This window comes from Homo sapiens, chromosome 1 (genome assembly GCF_000001405.40).
Source record: "Homo sapiens chromosome 1, GRCh38.p14 Primary Assembly".
NCBI lineage: Eukaryota > Metazoa > Chordata > Mammalia > Primates > Hominidae > Homo > Homo sapiens.
The window spans coordinates 91,749,266-91,767,755 of record NC_000001.11 but is presented as its reverse complement, the minus strand read 5'-3'; the positions used below and the strand labels follow the sequence as shown (position 1 = coordinate 91,767,755).

Here is an 18,490-nt window from a genome sequence, read left to right as displayed (position 1 = left end):
TAGAGCAGCTTCCCATTCTCCTCTATGTCCCAAGACTAACACCCAAGATTAAAGATGGGGGTGGGTAGGTAGGGGGAGAGACAGACAGACAGACAGGGAGAGACATTCATTCTACTTCCAGCACTGTCATTTTCTAGCCATATGACTTTGGCAAGAACACCAATTTCTTTACCTTTAAGATGGGAGTAATTAGATATTACGCAGAGCACTTCCTTTTGATGAGAGCAGCAAATCTCAACAGGAGCCATGGATCTACCTATTGTCTTTCCTTAGGAGATGATGATGATGATGGTTATTACTACTGCTGCCACCATGATTTTTAACAATAATCCAAGTGCGGTGTTTTTGAATGTTCATGTCTTAGTAATTACTCCTCTCTGGATTTCTGATTTCTGCTAGCAAGGTAACACTGTACTCCTAAAGAATTCCTTACCAGCTTCAGGTTAATATACTTTCTAAGATTGTACTTTAGCCCAGGGGAATCCAAATGCCATCCTTTGCTGCTGAGAGCATCTTAAATCGCTACCTGACTACAACTGCATTTTGTGGGGTTTTGTTTGTTTGTTTTTGCTATTACAAATTAACTAACTTTAAGATGCTGCTTAAACAGAAATCCTTATTGAGATCTTACAGCCATAATAGGTTCATTGTCCAACGTGCGTGGCAAGTCAATACACTGAGATACCAGGTTGCAGCAGAGACAGAGGTTTAATTGTACAGCTGCTGAACTGGGGGAAAACTCAAATCCATCTCCCACAGGAGTTTGGGGTTGGAGTTTTTAAGGGTTTTGGGTGGGCTGAAATATGGAGATTGTTGATGGGTCGAAGAGTGCAGGGTAAAGTCGTGGGACAGGGGGATGAAGAAACTGTGTTCTCATGCTGATTTGGTGGTTCCTTTGTGGGAGTCTTTAAACTGGTTGGTGTCAGCTGTCCCGTTGGAATTCAGGATCTGCTCATGCAACTCTCAAACAAAACCCTTAGGATTCTAACATCAGACATCCTATCTATCTATAGGAGCAATGGGGATGCAAATGGTGAGAATCTAGTGCTATGTGACTTGGTTACAAGAAACTAGGTCAAAGAGCAGCATGTTAATGCTTAATTATATTTTCTGTCCGGAATTCTTGTTAACCCAGTGAGGACAGCTTCAATCTCTGACTGCACGTAGCAGGTGGAATGATTACTCCAGTACTCAGATTTTGTGGGAATTGAGTTCCTGCTATGCTTATTTTGTAAATCAGCTTCTAATGATCACTCTAGTGATTCTCTTTATTATGCAGTTTGATACATCACAGTACTGATGCACAGGCCATTCTAACATTCTGTTGTTGGTAAAGACATATACATGTGAGCATACTGGCTTACTAAACAGGTATGTAGCAAAGCTAATTTGAAGCCCATTATAAAATGTAGAAATTAGGCTAGGTACTGTGTGGCTCACACCTGTAATCCCAGCATTTTGAGAGGCTGAGGTGGGAGGATTGCTTGAGACCAGGATTTGAGATCAGCTTGGACAACATAGCAAGACCCTGTCTCTACAAAAAAAAAAAAAAAAAAAGAAAACAAACTTAGCTGGTTATGGTGGTTTATGCCTGTGGCCATAGCTACTTGGGAGGCCAAGACAGGAGATTACTTGAGGAGTTGAAGGTTACGGTGAGCTCTGATTGTGCAACTGCACTCCAGCCTGGGCGACAGAGTGAGATCTTGTCTCAAAAAAAGGAGAACTTGAGAGGAAATACGTTTGTATAGCACATAGTTATATGGGGCTTTGGTTACATATTAGTGTTAAAAACAAAAAGTGATCTGAATGGATGTATTTATTAAATGTGACAGGGAATATATATATATAAAAAGCAAACTTTCCCTCCATTTTAATCAATTTGCAAATATTGAGTTTCTTCAGTTTGTCTAAAATTTTAATTTCTAATCATTCTAACACACTTAATTGCCTACATGCAAACCCGTGTAAAATTCTATGCCTCTAAAAGATAGTGGAATATTTGCTCAAAATATTTTATCTTTGTTATCTATCCCTAAGGAAGAAAACACGCTCCAAAGGTTTTTTACATTTTATGTGTTTTTATTTGCGTAACTGTTTAAGATAACAAACATTTTCTATTTTCTTTTCTTTGCCTTTTATGGTTCCCATGGATGGCCCAAGTGCCATTCTACGCTGTCTTACACACAGAGAGGATGATGATCAGGGTGGCTTGTCCTACAAAGCCTGGGAGTGGCCTTGGCATGCTGTCCAGCATACCTTCCAGGAAGCATCTCCGTCATTTGTTTCAGTAGCTGGAATCTGCTTATCTTGACTGTGTGTTAATGTTCTGTTTACTATATACACCCCAACCCCCTTGTTCTGGCCAGAAAAACAGGTCAATATGACTCTGTAATTATTATCCTAGTCACATTTCATTAATAACTTTTGTTCGTTCCTTCTTTTATTCCTTCTTTCAGAGAACTTGTGGACTGCCTACTAGATGTCCTGCCCTGTGCTAGGCCTAAGGATGCAGAAATGAGTGTGACTCAGTTTCTGCCCTTGAAGAATGACCTGAGGAATTTATACTGTGACAGGGGGGACAAACATCCAAACCAGGGCGTCCGATCTTTTGGCTTCCCTGGGCCACATTGGAAGAATTGTCTCGGGCCACACATAAAGTACATGAATGCTAATGAAAACTCATGAACGAAAAAGAAAAAAAAATTGCAAAAGAAATCTCATAATGTTTTGAGAAAGTTTACGAATTTGTGTTGGGCCTCATTCAAAGCCATCCTGGGCAGCATGTGGCCGTGGGTTGGACAAGCTTGATCTAAGCAGTTCATTATAGTGCCAGGCAGAGGCAGAGGTAGAAACACCAGTGCTGTCTGAGAGAGCTCTGGCTCTGTCTGAGGGAGGGGGAAAGATTTTACTGGAGATGGCATTGTGAGCTGGACCCACAAGTCCATCCGGAGCACTGTGGTGCACTTTAGGCCAGAATCCTGCAAGGCTGCGGTGTGTTAGTGATGTACACAGTACCCCATTCACACAACCTATCTTAATGCCAAAGAATGATAGAAAAGTGCCTGTCTGTGTCCTCAGACTTGCATCAGTAGTGGCCTGCTGAGGGCACTAGCAGCGTTCCTCCACCCGAACCACCCACACATCAGGGTCTCCGCTTTGCCTGCCTCTCTTCTCCGCAGCCGGGGGAGCTGTGGCTGCTCTGGGAAGGAAGGGCCTGGGTCTCTGGAATCTCCTTGCAACGGCTCCCAGGACCCCTTTAGAAGGTCATGACCTGTAGTTTCATAAATACTCCTCTGTTTATATGAGCTCTTGCCCCTCAACCCCCAACCCAAATTTAGTTCCCAGTATTTTTCCAGGGCATACAAAATATGGAGCAGAGCTTATTTCTGCATCCCGTTTCAGACTTTCATTTTAGGTTTTTTTTTTTTTTTTTTTTTTGTCTCTTTTGTGGTTATATTAGATGATTTTCAGAGGCTCTCAGGGAATCCTGAATCATGTCCTTGTTGGGGGGAAGGGAGATTAGTTTTGAAATAGACTGACAGTGCCCCTCTCAGCACTTTAAGTGGTTTCAAGACAAAACCATTGGGAAAGAGCTTGATACCATTTGACCAAGGAGAATGGTTAGTTGAGTGCCCCAGGTCAGGATGGGGACCCTGGGTGTGTGTGGGGGGGAATGTGTGTGTATGTCAAGATTTCTTGAATTCAGCACCAACTGATTAATATTCTTCTAGAAATTCAGAGAAATATAAAAATAAAAAGGAAAAATTTTAAAGCTCCACACCCAGTTCTCTAAAAATATTTTGAGGGAATCTTTTTATGCCAATTCCCAAATGGTGAAGGACAAGCAATGGTGAATAAAATATCAGCTGTAGGGGTTCCTTAGATCAGAATATACTTTAAATACTGCAGCAGCAACTAAGTAAATACTGTTCCCACCCCTAGCAGTCAGTTGCACATTTTAGATCCATCTGGGGTCAGGTTTGAGTTCCTAAAAGTCATATTGCCCAAATGTCAGTGAAATTTGAGTTCAGTGGGACCCTAGTGTCCTGAAATAGGTTTGTGCCTTTCCATTTGTGGGTGCAAAGTGTGGGTGCTGGGAGACCCAGATTCAGGATGTTTTCAGTTACTACTAACATTGTTGCCAAGTGGGATGTCTCCTTACCCCTGAAGAGGGGACAGATGATGGCTATATACAGACCAGCATGTGATTTTATGGGTCTTGGTTGTAGGCACGCTGTTGGAGTTCTTTTCTTATCTTAGTGTAAACTGATTATTGAATCATCCATTTCAGAGAATTATTTGGTCTGGTTTTAGATAATAAGAGTTTCCCTGGTAGTGTTTTGGATGACTTCATTGCTTCATGAACAGCCCACAGGGGCTGTTCTAAGAATCAGAAATGTTGAAATGGACCTCACTGACACGTTAGCAAAATTGGACAGCTGTTAGACTAGCATATCAGTTGCCTTGCTCACTTTGCTTTTTCGTTCGTTTTAATGAACCCCAGAAGTAGGGGGTCTAACTAATTCATATTCTGAAATCTCTATGGTAGAAATGCCTTGCATCTATATTATGAATCTTGGGAAATTCAAAACAATTTTCATAAGGAATCTTTCCATAAAGCAAGTAGGGTTTCCCCCTCTTCCTGTAATTCATTTTCATAAAGTAATCTACAGAGTTTGAGACAATAGATAGTTTTTGCTTATCAAAGATAACCTTTGGAGAACCCAGAAGCCTTCACTATAACAAGGTCCAGAAAAGATTGTCCTTGTTATTTTCTGCTGATAATGTGAGCAAAGACGTTCTTCCCAAGTGAGAGATAGGGAGGTAGTGTTTCCACTCAGAGGCTTTGTGCTCCTTAGAGTTGTCCTTGACTTTGGGCAAAGTTGTGTTCAGATTCCCCAGAAAAACACTCAGAAGATCTGCTTTGAATTTCTTTATAAAATTGTATGTTTGTTGCATTGCACAGGTAACTGCAGAAGACCTAGTATGAATAGATGTTGTAGAACAGGTTAGACCAATTAACTCTTTTCCATTTAGGGGAAGAATCAGCAATGTATGAGGGATGGTGTTACATAAGGGATGTGGCAGATCAGATTTGCTTGCATTTTCTCACACCATCAGGAATACCGAATATCCAGCACTGTTTGAAACCAGCATGGTTAGAACAGGAACTCTTGGATTAGGCTTCATGGACCAGTTTGTGGTCAAAGTACGGGTTTCACGAGAAACTGCATGTGAAAGTTTTTTTAGTTCTGAGTCTTCATCTATTAAGTTCTTCTGCTGAAAGGATGACATCTTAAGACCAGCGGTGTAATTTGTAGTTTAATTAGATGGATCCATTTTGTTACCATTGTTGCTCTTAGAACTTTCTTACTCTTTTACGATGGGGTTCTTAATCTGGGTTAATGGGTGCCTAACGGGGAGTTCATGGGCCCTGCAATGAATGTAATTCCCTGACATTGTCTGCAAAAGTTTGTGTGATATGGATGTTTTTTGTTTGGTTTGGTTTGGTAAGGAGAGGGTGCACACATGCATTCAGTTCTCAAATGTTCCATGACTCCCAAAGATTTACAAAGAAGCCAGTGGTTTCGAGACTGGTCATTGCTGCTCCTTTGAGCTGCATCCCCTTTGGTTCTACCAGCCTTCACAGCTTGCATGGTCCCAGTGTTCAATTCCTTATTACTTATCAGCCCATAGACAAAGCTGTTAACCTGTATTTTTATGTGTAAATTTGACATAGGATTGATGGTCAACTCTTTAAACTACTGTTTGGATTTCCAAGCTGGAGATTTCTGGATACTCTTTGTATCATTTCTTCATGGGATATTTATTTGCTGTAGTCTGCCTCAGCTCGGCCTTTAGACCATGAGCACTGGAGAGTGTAACCACAAAAAGCTTCAGGATATTCTTATATTTGTAACTGTAGTCTACCCTGAGCTATAATTGATCCTAAGGAGGATTTTCTTTTTCTTTTCTTTTGTCTTTTTTTTTTTCCCCCAAGCCTGGGAGAAATTGAGCAACTTAGCCAGGAATTCTTTGAGATATTGCTGTGTGTTCTCTCTACATTTCTGGAAGCTTTTATACCATGGTTCTTTTGTTAGCTGTTTTGGTTGTCCTTTATCTTCCCTTCAGCAAGATTTACTCAAGCGGGGGAAGCATAGAAAAGACAGGTTGCTGAGGGATTAGGTGAGCAGGCACTTGCAGGACTCATTGTCCCTGCCAAATGATCTTTTAAAGAAACTATTGGGTATTTTTCTTTGAATTTCCCAATTGTAGTGTGAATTCTTCTTTGCCAAATGGCTTTTGGGGCTCTGCCTGGACCCTGTGTGCCAGAGTCAGAGATTCATCTTGGCCAGACACTGCCACATATTGAAGAGGGAGCTGTTTCCAGGAAAGCTCAGAGAGCTGTGGCTCCTAGAAATCTTCCCTTGATTGTATGAGCCAGGCCTCAGCACTTTTGACCATCTGGAAAATTTTGGACCTGAGCACCAATATCTGTCTCATAGATCTTTTTCTTCTCATTTCATGAGCTTTTATAAAAAATTCTTGTTCATTTGAAATACATACTTACTAGTATTTTGTAGTATATATTTTGACCGAAACTTCTGCATATCTATGAGCTCTAAGAAGAATTGTATGCCTGAGGACTGCAAAGAAAATCTTCAGAAGAAGGGTTGATGCAGCCCCTGCAGATATACATTACTAGTCTTTGCATCATTATGGTACTCAGTAAATAGTCTTGAATAAATAAATAGAGAAACCTTTTACTGATACATGCTATTAGTGAAAGAGTGTTGCTTTGCAGTTTTCAGGTACACTGGAACAAATGATGATTTCATCCCTCCTTCATTCTCCATAGTGTGTGTGTGTCTCTTTGTTCAGTACAGTTTGAATCTTTGCTTCTGCTATTTCTATAGCATCTCTTCTTCTCAGTGGCTATCAATCTGTTTATTTCTAGATGCGGACAGCATCTCCAAAGTGTGCTGTGAGGTAGAGTCTTTACAACCAAGGAGCACATTACTTTGCTGTAGCTGTACTTGACATCACTGTTCATCTAGTACTTTGATTTAGTGCTATGCTTATGCCAGATATAAAAATGATCCTAGCTGTGTGCAGAAATAGCTCATGACAGTTGGAGTATTGCTTATTTTTGTATTTTTTTGCAAATTAGCCAGCTAAATTCCTTTGAACCTTTTTTTCCCCTTTAGGTAACATATAAATATATGAATTTGCTGTGATAAGTCAATATTTATTGTGTGTGTTTACTTCCCGGCCTTTTGGCTAAGATCAAGTGTATTATCGTGTCTATGTTAAGCACAGTTTTTTGTTTGCTTGTTTTTGAAACAGAGTCTCACTCTGTAGCCCAGGCTGGAGTGCAGTGGCACGATCTGGGCTCACTGCAACCTCCACTTCCTGGGTTCAAGCGATTCTTGTGTCTCAGCCACCTGAGTATCAGGTGCCTGCTACTATGCCCGGCTAATTTATTTTTGTATTTTTAGTAGAGACGGGGTTTTTCCATGTTGGCCAGGCTGGTCTCAAGCTCCTGGCCTACAGTCCATTTTGGAAATTAAGACATGCATTCTCAAGCTAGTGAACAAGATGATGCAAGTTATTCATAGAATATTTTTGTGGCATTGAAAAGCAGAGAATTAAAACATTATTTTGACATTTGCTGAGTGCTTACCATGTGCTAAAGCCTGGGTTTTGAAAGATAATGAAAGTTTACTGTTTTATTTATCAATGACCTGAGAGCATACTATGATAAGTGACATTGGTCATAAGTGGTCCCTACAAAAAAAGGTAGAAGTATGTTGAGATCACAGTGGGCTGGCAGCCATTGGGAAAATGTGAAATAGTCCAGCATTTAGTGCTGTATCCCTGATGGTTGTATAGACACAGATCGTGGATCTAGACCATGTCATCCTCATGAGGATTCTAGCTGAGATGTACTATTATTCCCAGTGCATCATTCAGTCTGTGTCTTTCTAGCCTAAGTCCTTTTTTGTCCTGTCCCTCCCTTATTACTTTATGGTTATGTTTGATGAGTTCACTCTGTTTAAATATGTGATTCTTGGGTCTTGCCTCCCCGCTCTGTATGGAAAGCCAGTATGAGACAGACTGTATGAAAGTATCTAGTCAATATTTCCTTATATATCCCTTTGTTCTCCTATGTTCATGTTGCCCTGGGCTCATGTGTGCCAAGAGGACTTTGTTGAGTCCATGGTTTGCAGCTCCATTCACAGGTGCTTTTTGGTGATGTTAATGACAACAGTGATGACCTGCAATAGTCCTTGATCTGCTGTCAAAATTGGTTACAGTTTTTGTATCCATCCCATGGTTTTCTTCCCTGTTTTTTTTTTTTTTTTTTTTTTGACAGGGGCTGTATACAATCACTCTTTATTCTGTGTGTCCTCTGTGCTTCATTTCTTTGGAAAAGCCCTTCAAGCTAAAAGCTGAGACAATGAAAGCCCTGGCAGCCTCCCTTGGCAGCCGCTTTTTCTCAGCTTTCGGCACTTTTCTTTGGCAGAACCCATTTCACTTTATAGAGGTTGGAGCTTACCTGGAGGAGAAGAAAGTCATTTCTCTGGAGATCCAGAGGGATGACCCCACCCCAAGGGGATTTTGTTTTCCAAGTTTCACCTTAGTCATTTGACCTAAAGCTTAAAGCAGGCCTAAGGGAAGGTAACTTTTGTTCCACCTTTGCTGACTTTTAGAAAGAAAAAATGTGTTCTGTTTATTTGTTCTTTGGCAGGGAGCTAAATCATGCTTTGGTTGAGATTAGTGTGGTTGACTAATATGAAATAGCCATTTTGTAGTAAAAAATGGTCAAATATTGGCAATATCATCTGGTTCAACTTAATGTATCTTATTCATAGAATCTGAGCTACATTATAGCTTGTTTCTGTTGATAGTGAGTTGCAAAAAAAGTATTCCAGAGGCTGCTCTGAGTGATTTTCATGGAAAGCCAGGGCTAAGATTTCTGCCCTCTTTCTGTTGCTTCCTAGGTCACACTTCACCTGAATCCCATCTCCTCAGTCCACATCCACCACAAGTCTGTTGTGTTCCTGCTCAACTCCCCACACCCCCTGGTGTGGCATCTGAAGACAGAGAGACTTGCCACTGGGGTCTCCAGACTGTTTTTGGTAAGTGCTTAAACCTCCCCCAAACTGATCCTTAGCACAAGGACATAATGGTCCTTAAACTTTGCCAAACTTTTCATAAAGGCTTACTTTCACTGAAATAATGCCAGAGTCCAAAGAGTGTTAAATTTGGAGGATGCACTTAGTGATATTTGGATGATGACATAGATAAGCATTCACAGAAAGCAGACACACCTGCCCATCTTCTGTGGGCAGAGGCTGGGGTCTAGTGCGCACATTAGAGCAGGACCTGTCGTCATACTCTGTGTGGCCTGAGCTTTGGTTTCAGCTCTGAAACCCCCCTTGTGGCATCAGGAGCCCTGTAAATATTGTAACTGGCTACCGGGTGTGTGGTCCCTGACCACAAAATGAATATGCACGGACCCATACTATTTGTATATAACACAGGCCTAATTCCTGATATGAGGATCTGTTTGTTGAGAAAGTGACACAGTGAGCTCCAAAATGAAGTCATTTGTATTTTATTAAAAAAACAAGCTGGAACTCAGCTCTTGTCGAAAGATCCAAATATTACCTACTATTTGTAAATCATGTCCCTTTGAGTTTGCCAGAACATTCAAGTGTGCTAGTTGTGGAGAAATCGATGGGTTGTTTGGATGGAATTTTTTTGGTGTGATATCATGTCTGATGATGAGCAGCACTGCAACTTGGTAGTTGTAACTCACATTGTCTATTACGAGAGCTGCAGGCTAATGTCCTAACTGCGGTGCCTGAGGCCTTAAACCTCTCTTGCCCACAAGCATCCAAAACAAGTGGAGTCCCCAGTTAATAGTTTTCCTCTTGCCTCATGAATAAACTTTGCCCAGTTAATGTCTCTCAATCCAGATCTGTAGTTTCTTTCCCCTGTGTTTGAAGAGTACTTCTAAAAACTCAAAGGTTCTTGTTGAATAATGTAAGAATCCATAGTCAATACAATTATTATAATAAGTACATAAATGAATAAAAGGGAGAAAAGGAAAAGCTCATCTTTATAGTAAAATGCCAACTAGAAAATCTAGAAGGAGCAAAGGAGTTAGAAAATGATCATTTTGCAACCATCATAATAAAAGTTGACCAGGCAAGAATTATCAACAGATGCTAAATCTAGCAGAGATGGAGGGAGTTCAGGAAGTAGTATATTTAGATATTCTTAAAATATCTTTCATACAAATTACTTATTAATTACACATAAAAAATAGTGACTATATACCTTGGGGATATCCCATGATACCTTAACCAGGTGATTAAAATTCATATCAGCAATGTGGGGCAGATGGACGCTGTGTGCCTATAAATGAGAGAGAACACAGCATCACTTTTGTGGTATTTTTGCCAGAAATGCATATAACCTGAATCTAATCATGAAGAAACGCTGACAAAACCAAATTGAACGACATTCTATAAGATAACTGGCCTATAATCTTCAAAAGTATCAGTCATGAAAGACAGAGAAAGGCTGGGGAGCCATTCCAGATTAGAGGAGACAAAAAGACAAGACACATGTGATCCTGAGCTGGATCCTGTTGGGTAGGGAGTGGGGCAGCTGCTATAAAAGACATTAGGGGGACAGTGGATTGTATTTTATATAAATAAATTATAATTGAGCCTATAGATTAAAATATTATATCAATGTTATATTCCTTGAATTTGATAATTATGTTGTTTTTATGTAAGAGAATATCCTTAGGAAACATACTTAATACTCTTTAAGATTAAGGGCTAAAAGGTCAGATCATTCAGGAAAAAAACATGTTGTATAGAGAAGAATAAAGCAAATGTGGCAAGGTTTTAAAAACTGATGAATCTAGTTAAAAGGGTATAGTAGAGTCCTTTGTACTAGCAACTTTGCTGTAAATTTAAATTAATTTCAAAAGAAAACATTTAAACTCAAAAGGTACATTTACAAGGTGGGCATTACAATAACTTTATTGTAGCCTTTTCTGGGAATTGCAACTCTTATTCTATATTAAAAAGGCCAAAAATCAAAAATCAGTAATTATTTAGTTGTTATTACTAGCACATTTATTTAGCACTTAGGATATTTCAGGTCACTAAATGCTCTAATACTTTAATTCTCACGATAGCCTTCTACAGTACCATAGTGTAGATCCTTTCTTATAGATGAAGAACTAAGATTTAGAGAAGTTAAGTAGTGGGCCAAATCACATGGCTAGTTACTTGCAGAGTTGGTACTCAAACCTAGATGGGACCCATTCTACAAGCTGTTATGCTAAACTGTCTGCCTTCGTACTCATAATCACTGTCAGTCTCCTCTAATTAAAGTTACTTGTGATAGTAATACTAATGGCTCTGATCATAAAGTCATATGCACATTTAGCCCTCATACTGTAGAGCTATACTGTCCAATACTATAGGAAATAGCTGTGCGTGGCTACTTAAATTACAGTTCTTCAGTCCTGCTTAGCCACATTTCAGGTGCTTAGTAGCTATGTGAGGCTAGTGGCTACCACAGTGGGCAGGTTATGGAGGCATTATGAGCAAAGGCAGTGCATGTCCTGGTTTAGATCCAAGCAGTGACCTTGGGCAAATTAATTTCTCTAAGCCGGATTTTTCTCAGGCCCTGCATCATAGGGCTGTTATCTTGAGTAAGTGAGATCACATATAAAATGTTTATAGACATCACCTGCTGTTGCTGCTCTTATTTATTTCTAGTCACAGTAAAGAGCATGTGGGACGGGTGTTGAATTTGCATCTGTATTTATGAAATATCTAGTTTGGCTGGCCCCAGATCAAAAGGGGTTCTGTTTCTCTGGGCTATAGGTCCAGATGAAAGTGTGGGCTACGTATGTCATAGTTGTACTTATCGCTGCCTGGATTCTTTCTTCAGTCTGCCAGTTCATGGGTTTTGACGGAAAGTGTCTTACTCTTAGTTATTAATTTGCTTTAATTTTGCTTAAAATCTGTAAAAACTGCTTCTTGGTCATCAGTTTAGACACTAACAATGAAAGAAGGTGGCCGCTTTAGTAAACAATTGAACGTCAGCCCCATTTGGATCAATCCCATGTAAGGAGATTGCAGATCAAGTAATGAGCCTAAAATTACCAACACGTGGGAGGCAGCATCAGGAGAAGTCAAGGATTTAAATTCCAGGACACCTGAACTCTGCTTTGTTGTCCAGCAGGCTTCCTTTAGGGAAAACGGTTTTTTTCCCGTCTGCACATTTCTTCTTGGCCTGGAAGAGACGATGGAACATCTGTTGTTCATTCACGTTCTCACATCAGCAGACAACGAGTGATGCAAGTCCTTGCACAAGCTGGGCCACTCTCCTTGGGCAGGCTTTTCCCTTCCTCTCTGTGGCCTGAAATGAATTTTAGTTTCTCCTCATCTCCTTGATAGCCTTTGCCACAGAGGGTCTGGTGATCAATAGAAATCCAGTAGTGTGTTCTCTTTATCCATTTGTATAGTTAAGAGTTAAAGTTTGGGGATAAGATAACTAAATTATTTTATATAAAGTGTTCATCAAACACTTCAGAGGGCCCACGGGATCTCTGGAAATTCAGGCTTCACCGTTTTCATCACTGTCTTCTCCGAGGTTACCCAGGGAGCCTAAAGGAGCTGTGGAAAGCGAATGGGTCTCTTGACTCTCAGTCCACGATGCATGTATCCTTGCCTGTTTCCTGATATGCTGCTGGATGGTTTGCATTTCTGTCTCAGAGCTGTCTACTGTGTACGTAGAGTTACAGAACTTTTAACTGTTTTTTTTTAAATAGGGCAATGAGAAAAGTTCAAGTAATAGCATCTACTCATTTATCAGGGTGACCTTTTTATTTAAATGGACATGTCTGTGTTGTTATGACTGCCCAAATTAAAAAAGGAAAACTTTCATAATTAGTTAGGAGGGCCTTATGTTACCCAGGACATCGCAGCCACCCTTGAGGGTGACTGAAAACATACTTTAATACTAGTAATAAAGGCATCTGTCTTTTTCTGTCAAATCATTTCAGTCCTTCTCACCCCCTCACAGCACAGGCAAGAAGGGAACGTGTCAGGCAGGGAGAAAGTGGGATTTGGTTTTCTCTGCAGGTGCAGCTCCTTTATCTGGTTATTCTGGTTACCTAGGAAATATGAGTGGGATGAAGAGTGATGCTTTCAGGCTGAGTTTCAAGTAGTGAATCTTTGAGTGTGAGTCACACACACACGTGATGAAGTTGTAATAATCTTATAGTTTTCCTTTTGCAGGGTGTATGGGTGGCCCAGAGAACAATCAGAAATAAAAATCATCTTACCCTCTCAGTGTGCCATGTTGAAACTGCAAATAATCTCTTAGAAGGATCACATAAGCCTGTTTTTATTTATGCATTCATTTCTACACTGAAAAAAAAAGTAAGATAACTTAACTGGGTGATGATGCCTGAACCTTCAACCTGAATTTGCTAAAATGAGAGCCACAGTATGAAGTTGTCTTTAAGGACATACTACAATTTAAATACACGGTTTCTAGAGAAAAGACACAAATGGCCAAAAAACACATGAAAAGATGCTCAATATCATGAGTCATTAGGGACATGCTAATGAAAACCACAGTGAGATGCCACTTCACACTAGGATGGCTTTAATAAAAAAGGCGATAACAAGGGTTGTGAAAGCTGTAGGGAAATTGGAACACGCATACATTGCTGGTGGGAATGTAAAATGGTTCTGTGGAAAACTGAGCAAAACACATGTCCCCAAGAACTTGTCCACAAATGTCCAAAGCATCATTATTCACAGTAACCAAAAAGTGGAAACAACCCAAATGTCTACCAACAGATGAGTGGATGAAAACAGTGCTATATCCATATAATGGAATATTAGCCATAAAAAGGATTGAAGTTCTGATACATACCACAACATAGATGGGTCTTGAAAACATTATACTAAGTGAAAGAAGCCAGATGCTAATTGTCACAAGTTGTATGATTCCAATTTATATAAAATGTCCAGAATGGGCAAATCTATAGAAACAGAAAGTAGATTAGTAATTGCCAGGGGCTGATGGGAGGGGAAAATGGGGAATGACTACTAATGATACGAGATTTCTTTTGGGAGGTGACAAAAATGTTCTATAATTACATAGTGGTGAATATACCACACCTTGTGAATACACACAGAAACACTGAATTGTACAGTTTAAAAGGCTGAATATTATGGTATGTGGACTGTATTTCATAAAACTAGTAAAAACTTGCTGCAGCACTTTTTTTTTTTTTTTTTTTTTTTTTTTTGAGGACAGAGTCTCACTCCCTTACTCAGGCTGGAGTGCAGTGGTGCAAACATGCCTCACTGTAGCCTCAACCTTCTGGGCTCAAGCGATCCTCCTGCCTCAGCCTCCCGAGTAGCTGGGACTACAGGTGCATGCCAACATGACCAGCTGATTTTTTTTGGTATTTTTTGTAGAGATAGGGTTTTGCCATATTGTCCAGGCTAATCTCAAACTCCTGGTCTCAAGTGATGCACCCACTTTGGCCTCCCAAAGTGCTGGGTTTATAGGCGCGAGCCACAGTGCTGGGCAGGGACTAGGTTTTTAAATGTATCTTTTTACTTTATTCCATGTACCTGATTTTTTTTTCTTTTTTTCTTTTTTTTTTTGAGAGAGGGTCTGGCTCTGTAGCCCAAGCTAGAGTTCAGTGGCATGATCTCGGCTCACTGTAACCTCTGCTGCCTGGGCTCAAACCATCCTCTCACCTCAGCCTCCCGAGTAGCTGGGATTACAGGCATGTACCCCCACACCCAGCTAATTTTTGACTTTTTTTTTTGTAAAGATGGGGTTTCACTTTGTTGCCCAGGCTGGTCTTAAACTCTTGGGCTGAAGCCGTCCACCTGCCTTGGCCTCCCAAAGTACTGGGATTACAGGTGTGAGCCACTATGCCCGGCCTCTAATTTTTTTTTTTTAATCTTGCTTTATTTGTATTCCAAACTTGAGCATTCTCTCCTGCAAGGTCTGTAGACTTGGAGCCCTAGGACAAGCAGACGTTTTCAAGATGAGACCCTAGTGCCTGGCTTTTAATAACCTAAAATACCTAGTCCAGAGGCCTTGGCCAGCTTACTTATGTCAGGCTTAGTCACTTTGCATGCTCATAAGGAAAAAAGGGTATCTAAGATTAGAAGTTTCAAGAAATAAGCAGCTTCTTCCAACCTCATTCACTCTCGATATTACTGTGCTGTGATCTATTTTTTTCTAGCCATTTATCATTAAAATCAGAGAGCAAATGTATGTGAATGTGTGTATGTTTGAGTGGGGGATGGGGCATAGAAGGGGATTTTGGTCTTTGAGGTACAATTGCTGGAGCTGGCATATAAAAATAGAGGATGCCCAATTAAAGTTGAATTTCAGATAAATAACAAATCATTTTGTTAGTGTGCCCATGTAGTATATGGGACATAACATATACTGAAAAAGTATTCATTGTTTACCTGAAATTCAACTTTAACTGGGTGTCCTGTACTTTATTGGGCAGCTCTACTCGGAGGTAATTCAGGTTTTTGTTTCCAGTTAACACCCTGGCCTGGGTGTTAGGAGGCCTGAGTACTAGTCTTGGCTCTGCCACTAACTAGTTATATACATCATCGGGAAAAAAAATCACTTAACTACTCAGACCTCGTTTCCTCATTTCTAAAATGAGGGGATCGTACTAGCTCATCTCTAAAGTTCCTCCCAGCTTTTAAACTCTGTGATTCTTTGATAGTACGACTGCTAGATGTTATATCCCAATTTAATTTGGAACAGAAACTGGCAAATTGAGCATTGCCTCTTCAGCAAATCCAAGTAAATATCAAGGCAGGGCAGTTGCAATAAATGACAGAAACTAAACTCTATGCTATTAGCTTTGGATTAAAAACAAATCAAAACTTAATCCTAATGAAAAATGTAAATTAATAAATTTAAAACCAGTTTTGTATTTTCAAGAAGCGGGGAGGGATGGGTGAAGAAGCTGGAGCTGCCAACATCTAGTTTATTCCTTTTACTTAAACTAGAGGCATTAAAAAAAAAAAGGTCCAAATATTTTGGGCCTCTGCCACCAAACCACAGGCAGTTCTCTGGTCTGCACTGGAGTTTGGATGACTGACAAGACTCAGTGAAAAACAAGTGCTATTTGTTTTCCTGTGCCTAGTATTTAACTGGAAATCAGAAGGCTAAATTTCCAATCAGTTGCTAAATAGCCCCAGATGTGTGCTCAGTGCAGCACTAGGAAGGGACACGCACAGCCCATACCACCGTGCATGTCCAGCTGTTACCTTTTCATGAAGCCAAGTGATGTGTAACTGAGGGTTGTAGTGTCTGTCCAAAAACGCCCTAAGAATAACTCAGACATTCAAGTTTGCTTGTGGAGAAGGGAACTTTTTTTAAAAAAAATTCTGTATTCTATTGTGTTACATTTAAAAATCTGGAAATAATTTTTTTCTTTGCTAATTTCCTTCTTTCCCTTCTTTGGCAGTTCCCCCACCCCCATGTTTAGAAAAAAACACAGAATTAGCATACCGGGTATGATGGTTTATGTATGTGCTTGTTCATTCATCCAACACACAGTTTTTAGTGCCTGACTGTGAACTGTGCTAGCTGTGGAGGATCTAGGGAAAACTGGGGTGAATTGCCTGTCGTCAGGGAGCTTCCCATTGTGTGGGAGAGCTGATTGAAAAATTGGGAATTGCAGTTTAGTGTGCTAAGTACTATTACGCTAAATAATAGTGAAAATTGGAGAAGATGAGAATAGTAGAAATTGGAGAAAATGAGAATTCTCTTCTTCCAAATGCAATCAAGGCAGCTTCCTGCATGAGGTTGGCTCTGGAGAACAGCATGTGGCAAATGGGTCAAGGTTGCAGACACAAACACAGCTCTTGGCTCGGCCAGAAGCATTACCCCTGTATTCCAGGGACCCGGATATACCAGTTTGTGTTTTGCAGTGAGGTCTTTCCCCAGATAAATTCTCTCTTGAAGGGAGATTAAATAACTAAATGTTTCAAGATTGCTGGTGGTTCTTCTTCTTTTTTTAAATGTCTCTTGTGGAATGACTCATTGTGTCCTGTGGGATATTCCAAGTGGTTGTGTACCATGCATTTTTATTCCGGAGTCTGCTCATCTGTTGGTTTTGTGGCTTGTCCTTAAGGGCCTTAATTATATGGGTCTTGATCCTCTCATGAACTAGGGTCAGTCAACTACCCTAGTTCAAACAAGTCATTCCTGTTTCCTAGGAATAGGAGTTTTTGGCCCTATTGTGGCCATTGAGCTCTTCCTAAATGTCACTATGGCAATTAGAACATTGGAAAGAGCCCAGTTTCAACTGGTAAACCTGGTCCAGAAGGGGTTTTTGAAAGACTCCCTGGGATTTATTCTAACTTGCTAGGTTAAGGCTGGTGAATGTTGTGAGTGAGTGAATGGCCCGTGGCCCCTGGGAGATTTGCCTGGGTGTATTTTTCCTGAGGAAGACCTACTGTCCAGGAGGGTTCACGCAAGTGTAGACTTTTCCTGGCTCTGGCTGGACTTGCGTCATGTCTGTGTGCAGGCATGGGTTGCAGCCCTGTGAAGGCTTTGCTTTCATTCAACAAATTGAGGTCAAATAAACTCACTTTCACTGAGGAGGCAAGGTTGGTGTTTCTTCGTGTGGAGTCCCATAACGTCTTTTAAGGCTTTATTGTCTAAGGCTAATCTGGTAATCAGATGCATCTGCCCTTCCCAAGTGTTGGGCAATTGTATCAAATGTCACATCTCTGGTGCCCTTTGTTGACGTGGTGGCCAGCCTCCAGAGAGCTGTTCGGTAGAAAAAGTGACTGTTTTGTTAAGGAAGGTTGCAGAATATTTTATTTCCATGTAATAGGAGGGGAAAGAAACCCCAACTGTCTACCAGGAGACTCTGGGAGGCTGACTTGAAGGCTGTGGCTGTGCCTTGTTCCGCTCATAAATTATAGACAGTGATGCCTTTGGTAAGGGTTCTCCACAGGTGACCTACACTCTCCATCTCAGAAAGCAACTCCAGGATGGTCCAACTCCTTCCTGGACACAGGTTGTTGGGTTTATTTGAGGCAAATTGGTTCTTGCACCTCGAGTCCACATTATCTAACTCTAGCTTGGAAGCTACTTCTGATTTCGCAGGGGAGGAAGGAGTCCCTTTAGCCTTCTAATTTCTGTGTCTAGGATAGAATTTGCTTTTCTCAAGATCTGCTTTTGCCTTTTGTTCCTAACACTGTATCCTTAGATGACCCAGGGTCTTTGTTGCAACTGTGGGTCCTTAATGCCACTGTGCTAGGGAGTCACCATTGGTTTGCCTCTGCCTTGTCCCACTGAGGTGGTGAATGACACAGTGTATACCTGGAAGTCAGGGGGTCTTCCGTCTGCCACCTCTAGCAAAAGTCTC

The 18,490-nt window shown here is 40.7% G+C and overlaps 1 protein-coding gene and 1 pseudogene across 12 annotated transcripts in view, besides 1 other annotated feature; both read left to right on the top strand.

Moving 5' to 3' along the window:
• The window catches only part of TGFBR3 (transforming growth factor beta receptor 3), a 225,660-nt gene that overhangs the window by 138,247 nt on the left and 68,923 nt on the right, over nt 1-18,490 (top strand). For all 12 annotated transcript variants that reach the window (NR_036634.2, NM_001195684.1, XM_047429247.1 and 9 more), the window contains one exon: nt 9,006-9,143. Coding sequence is in view for 10 of the 12 variants with exons in the window: in NM_001195684.1 (NP_001182613.1) it covers nt 9,006-9,143 (138 nt within the window). In the remaining 2 variants the exon portion in view is untranslated. The remainder of the gene's footprint in view (nt 1-9,005; nt 9,144-18,490) is intronic.
• LOC124904659 (uncharacterized) lies at nt 7,262-7,415 on the top strand (annotated as a pseudogene).
• Nucleotides 14,320-14,820: an enhancer, noted in NCBI's record as "H3K4me1 hESC enhancer chr1:92218493-92218993 (GRCh37/hg19 assembly coordinates)". NCBI's record gives its function as "activates a minimal SCP1, AML or CMV promoter by ChIP-STARR-seq in primed H9 embryonic stem cells {active_cell/tissue: H9 hESC(primed)}" and the evidence as "EXISTENCE:reporter gene assay evidence [ECO:0000049][PMID:30033119]".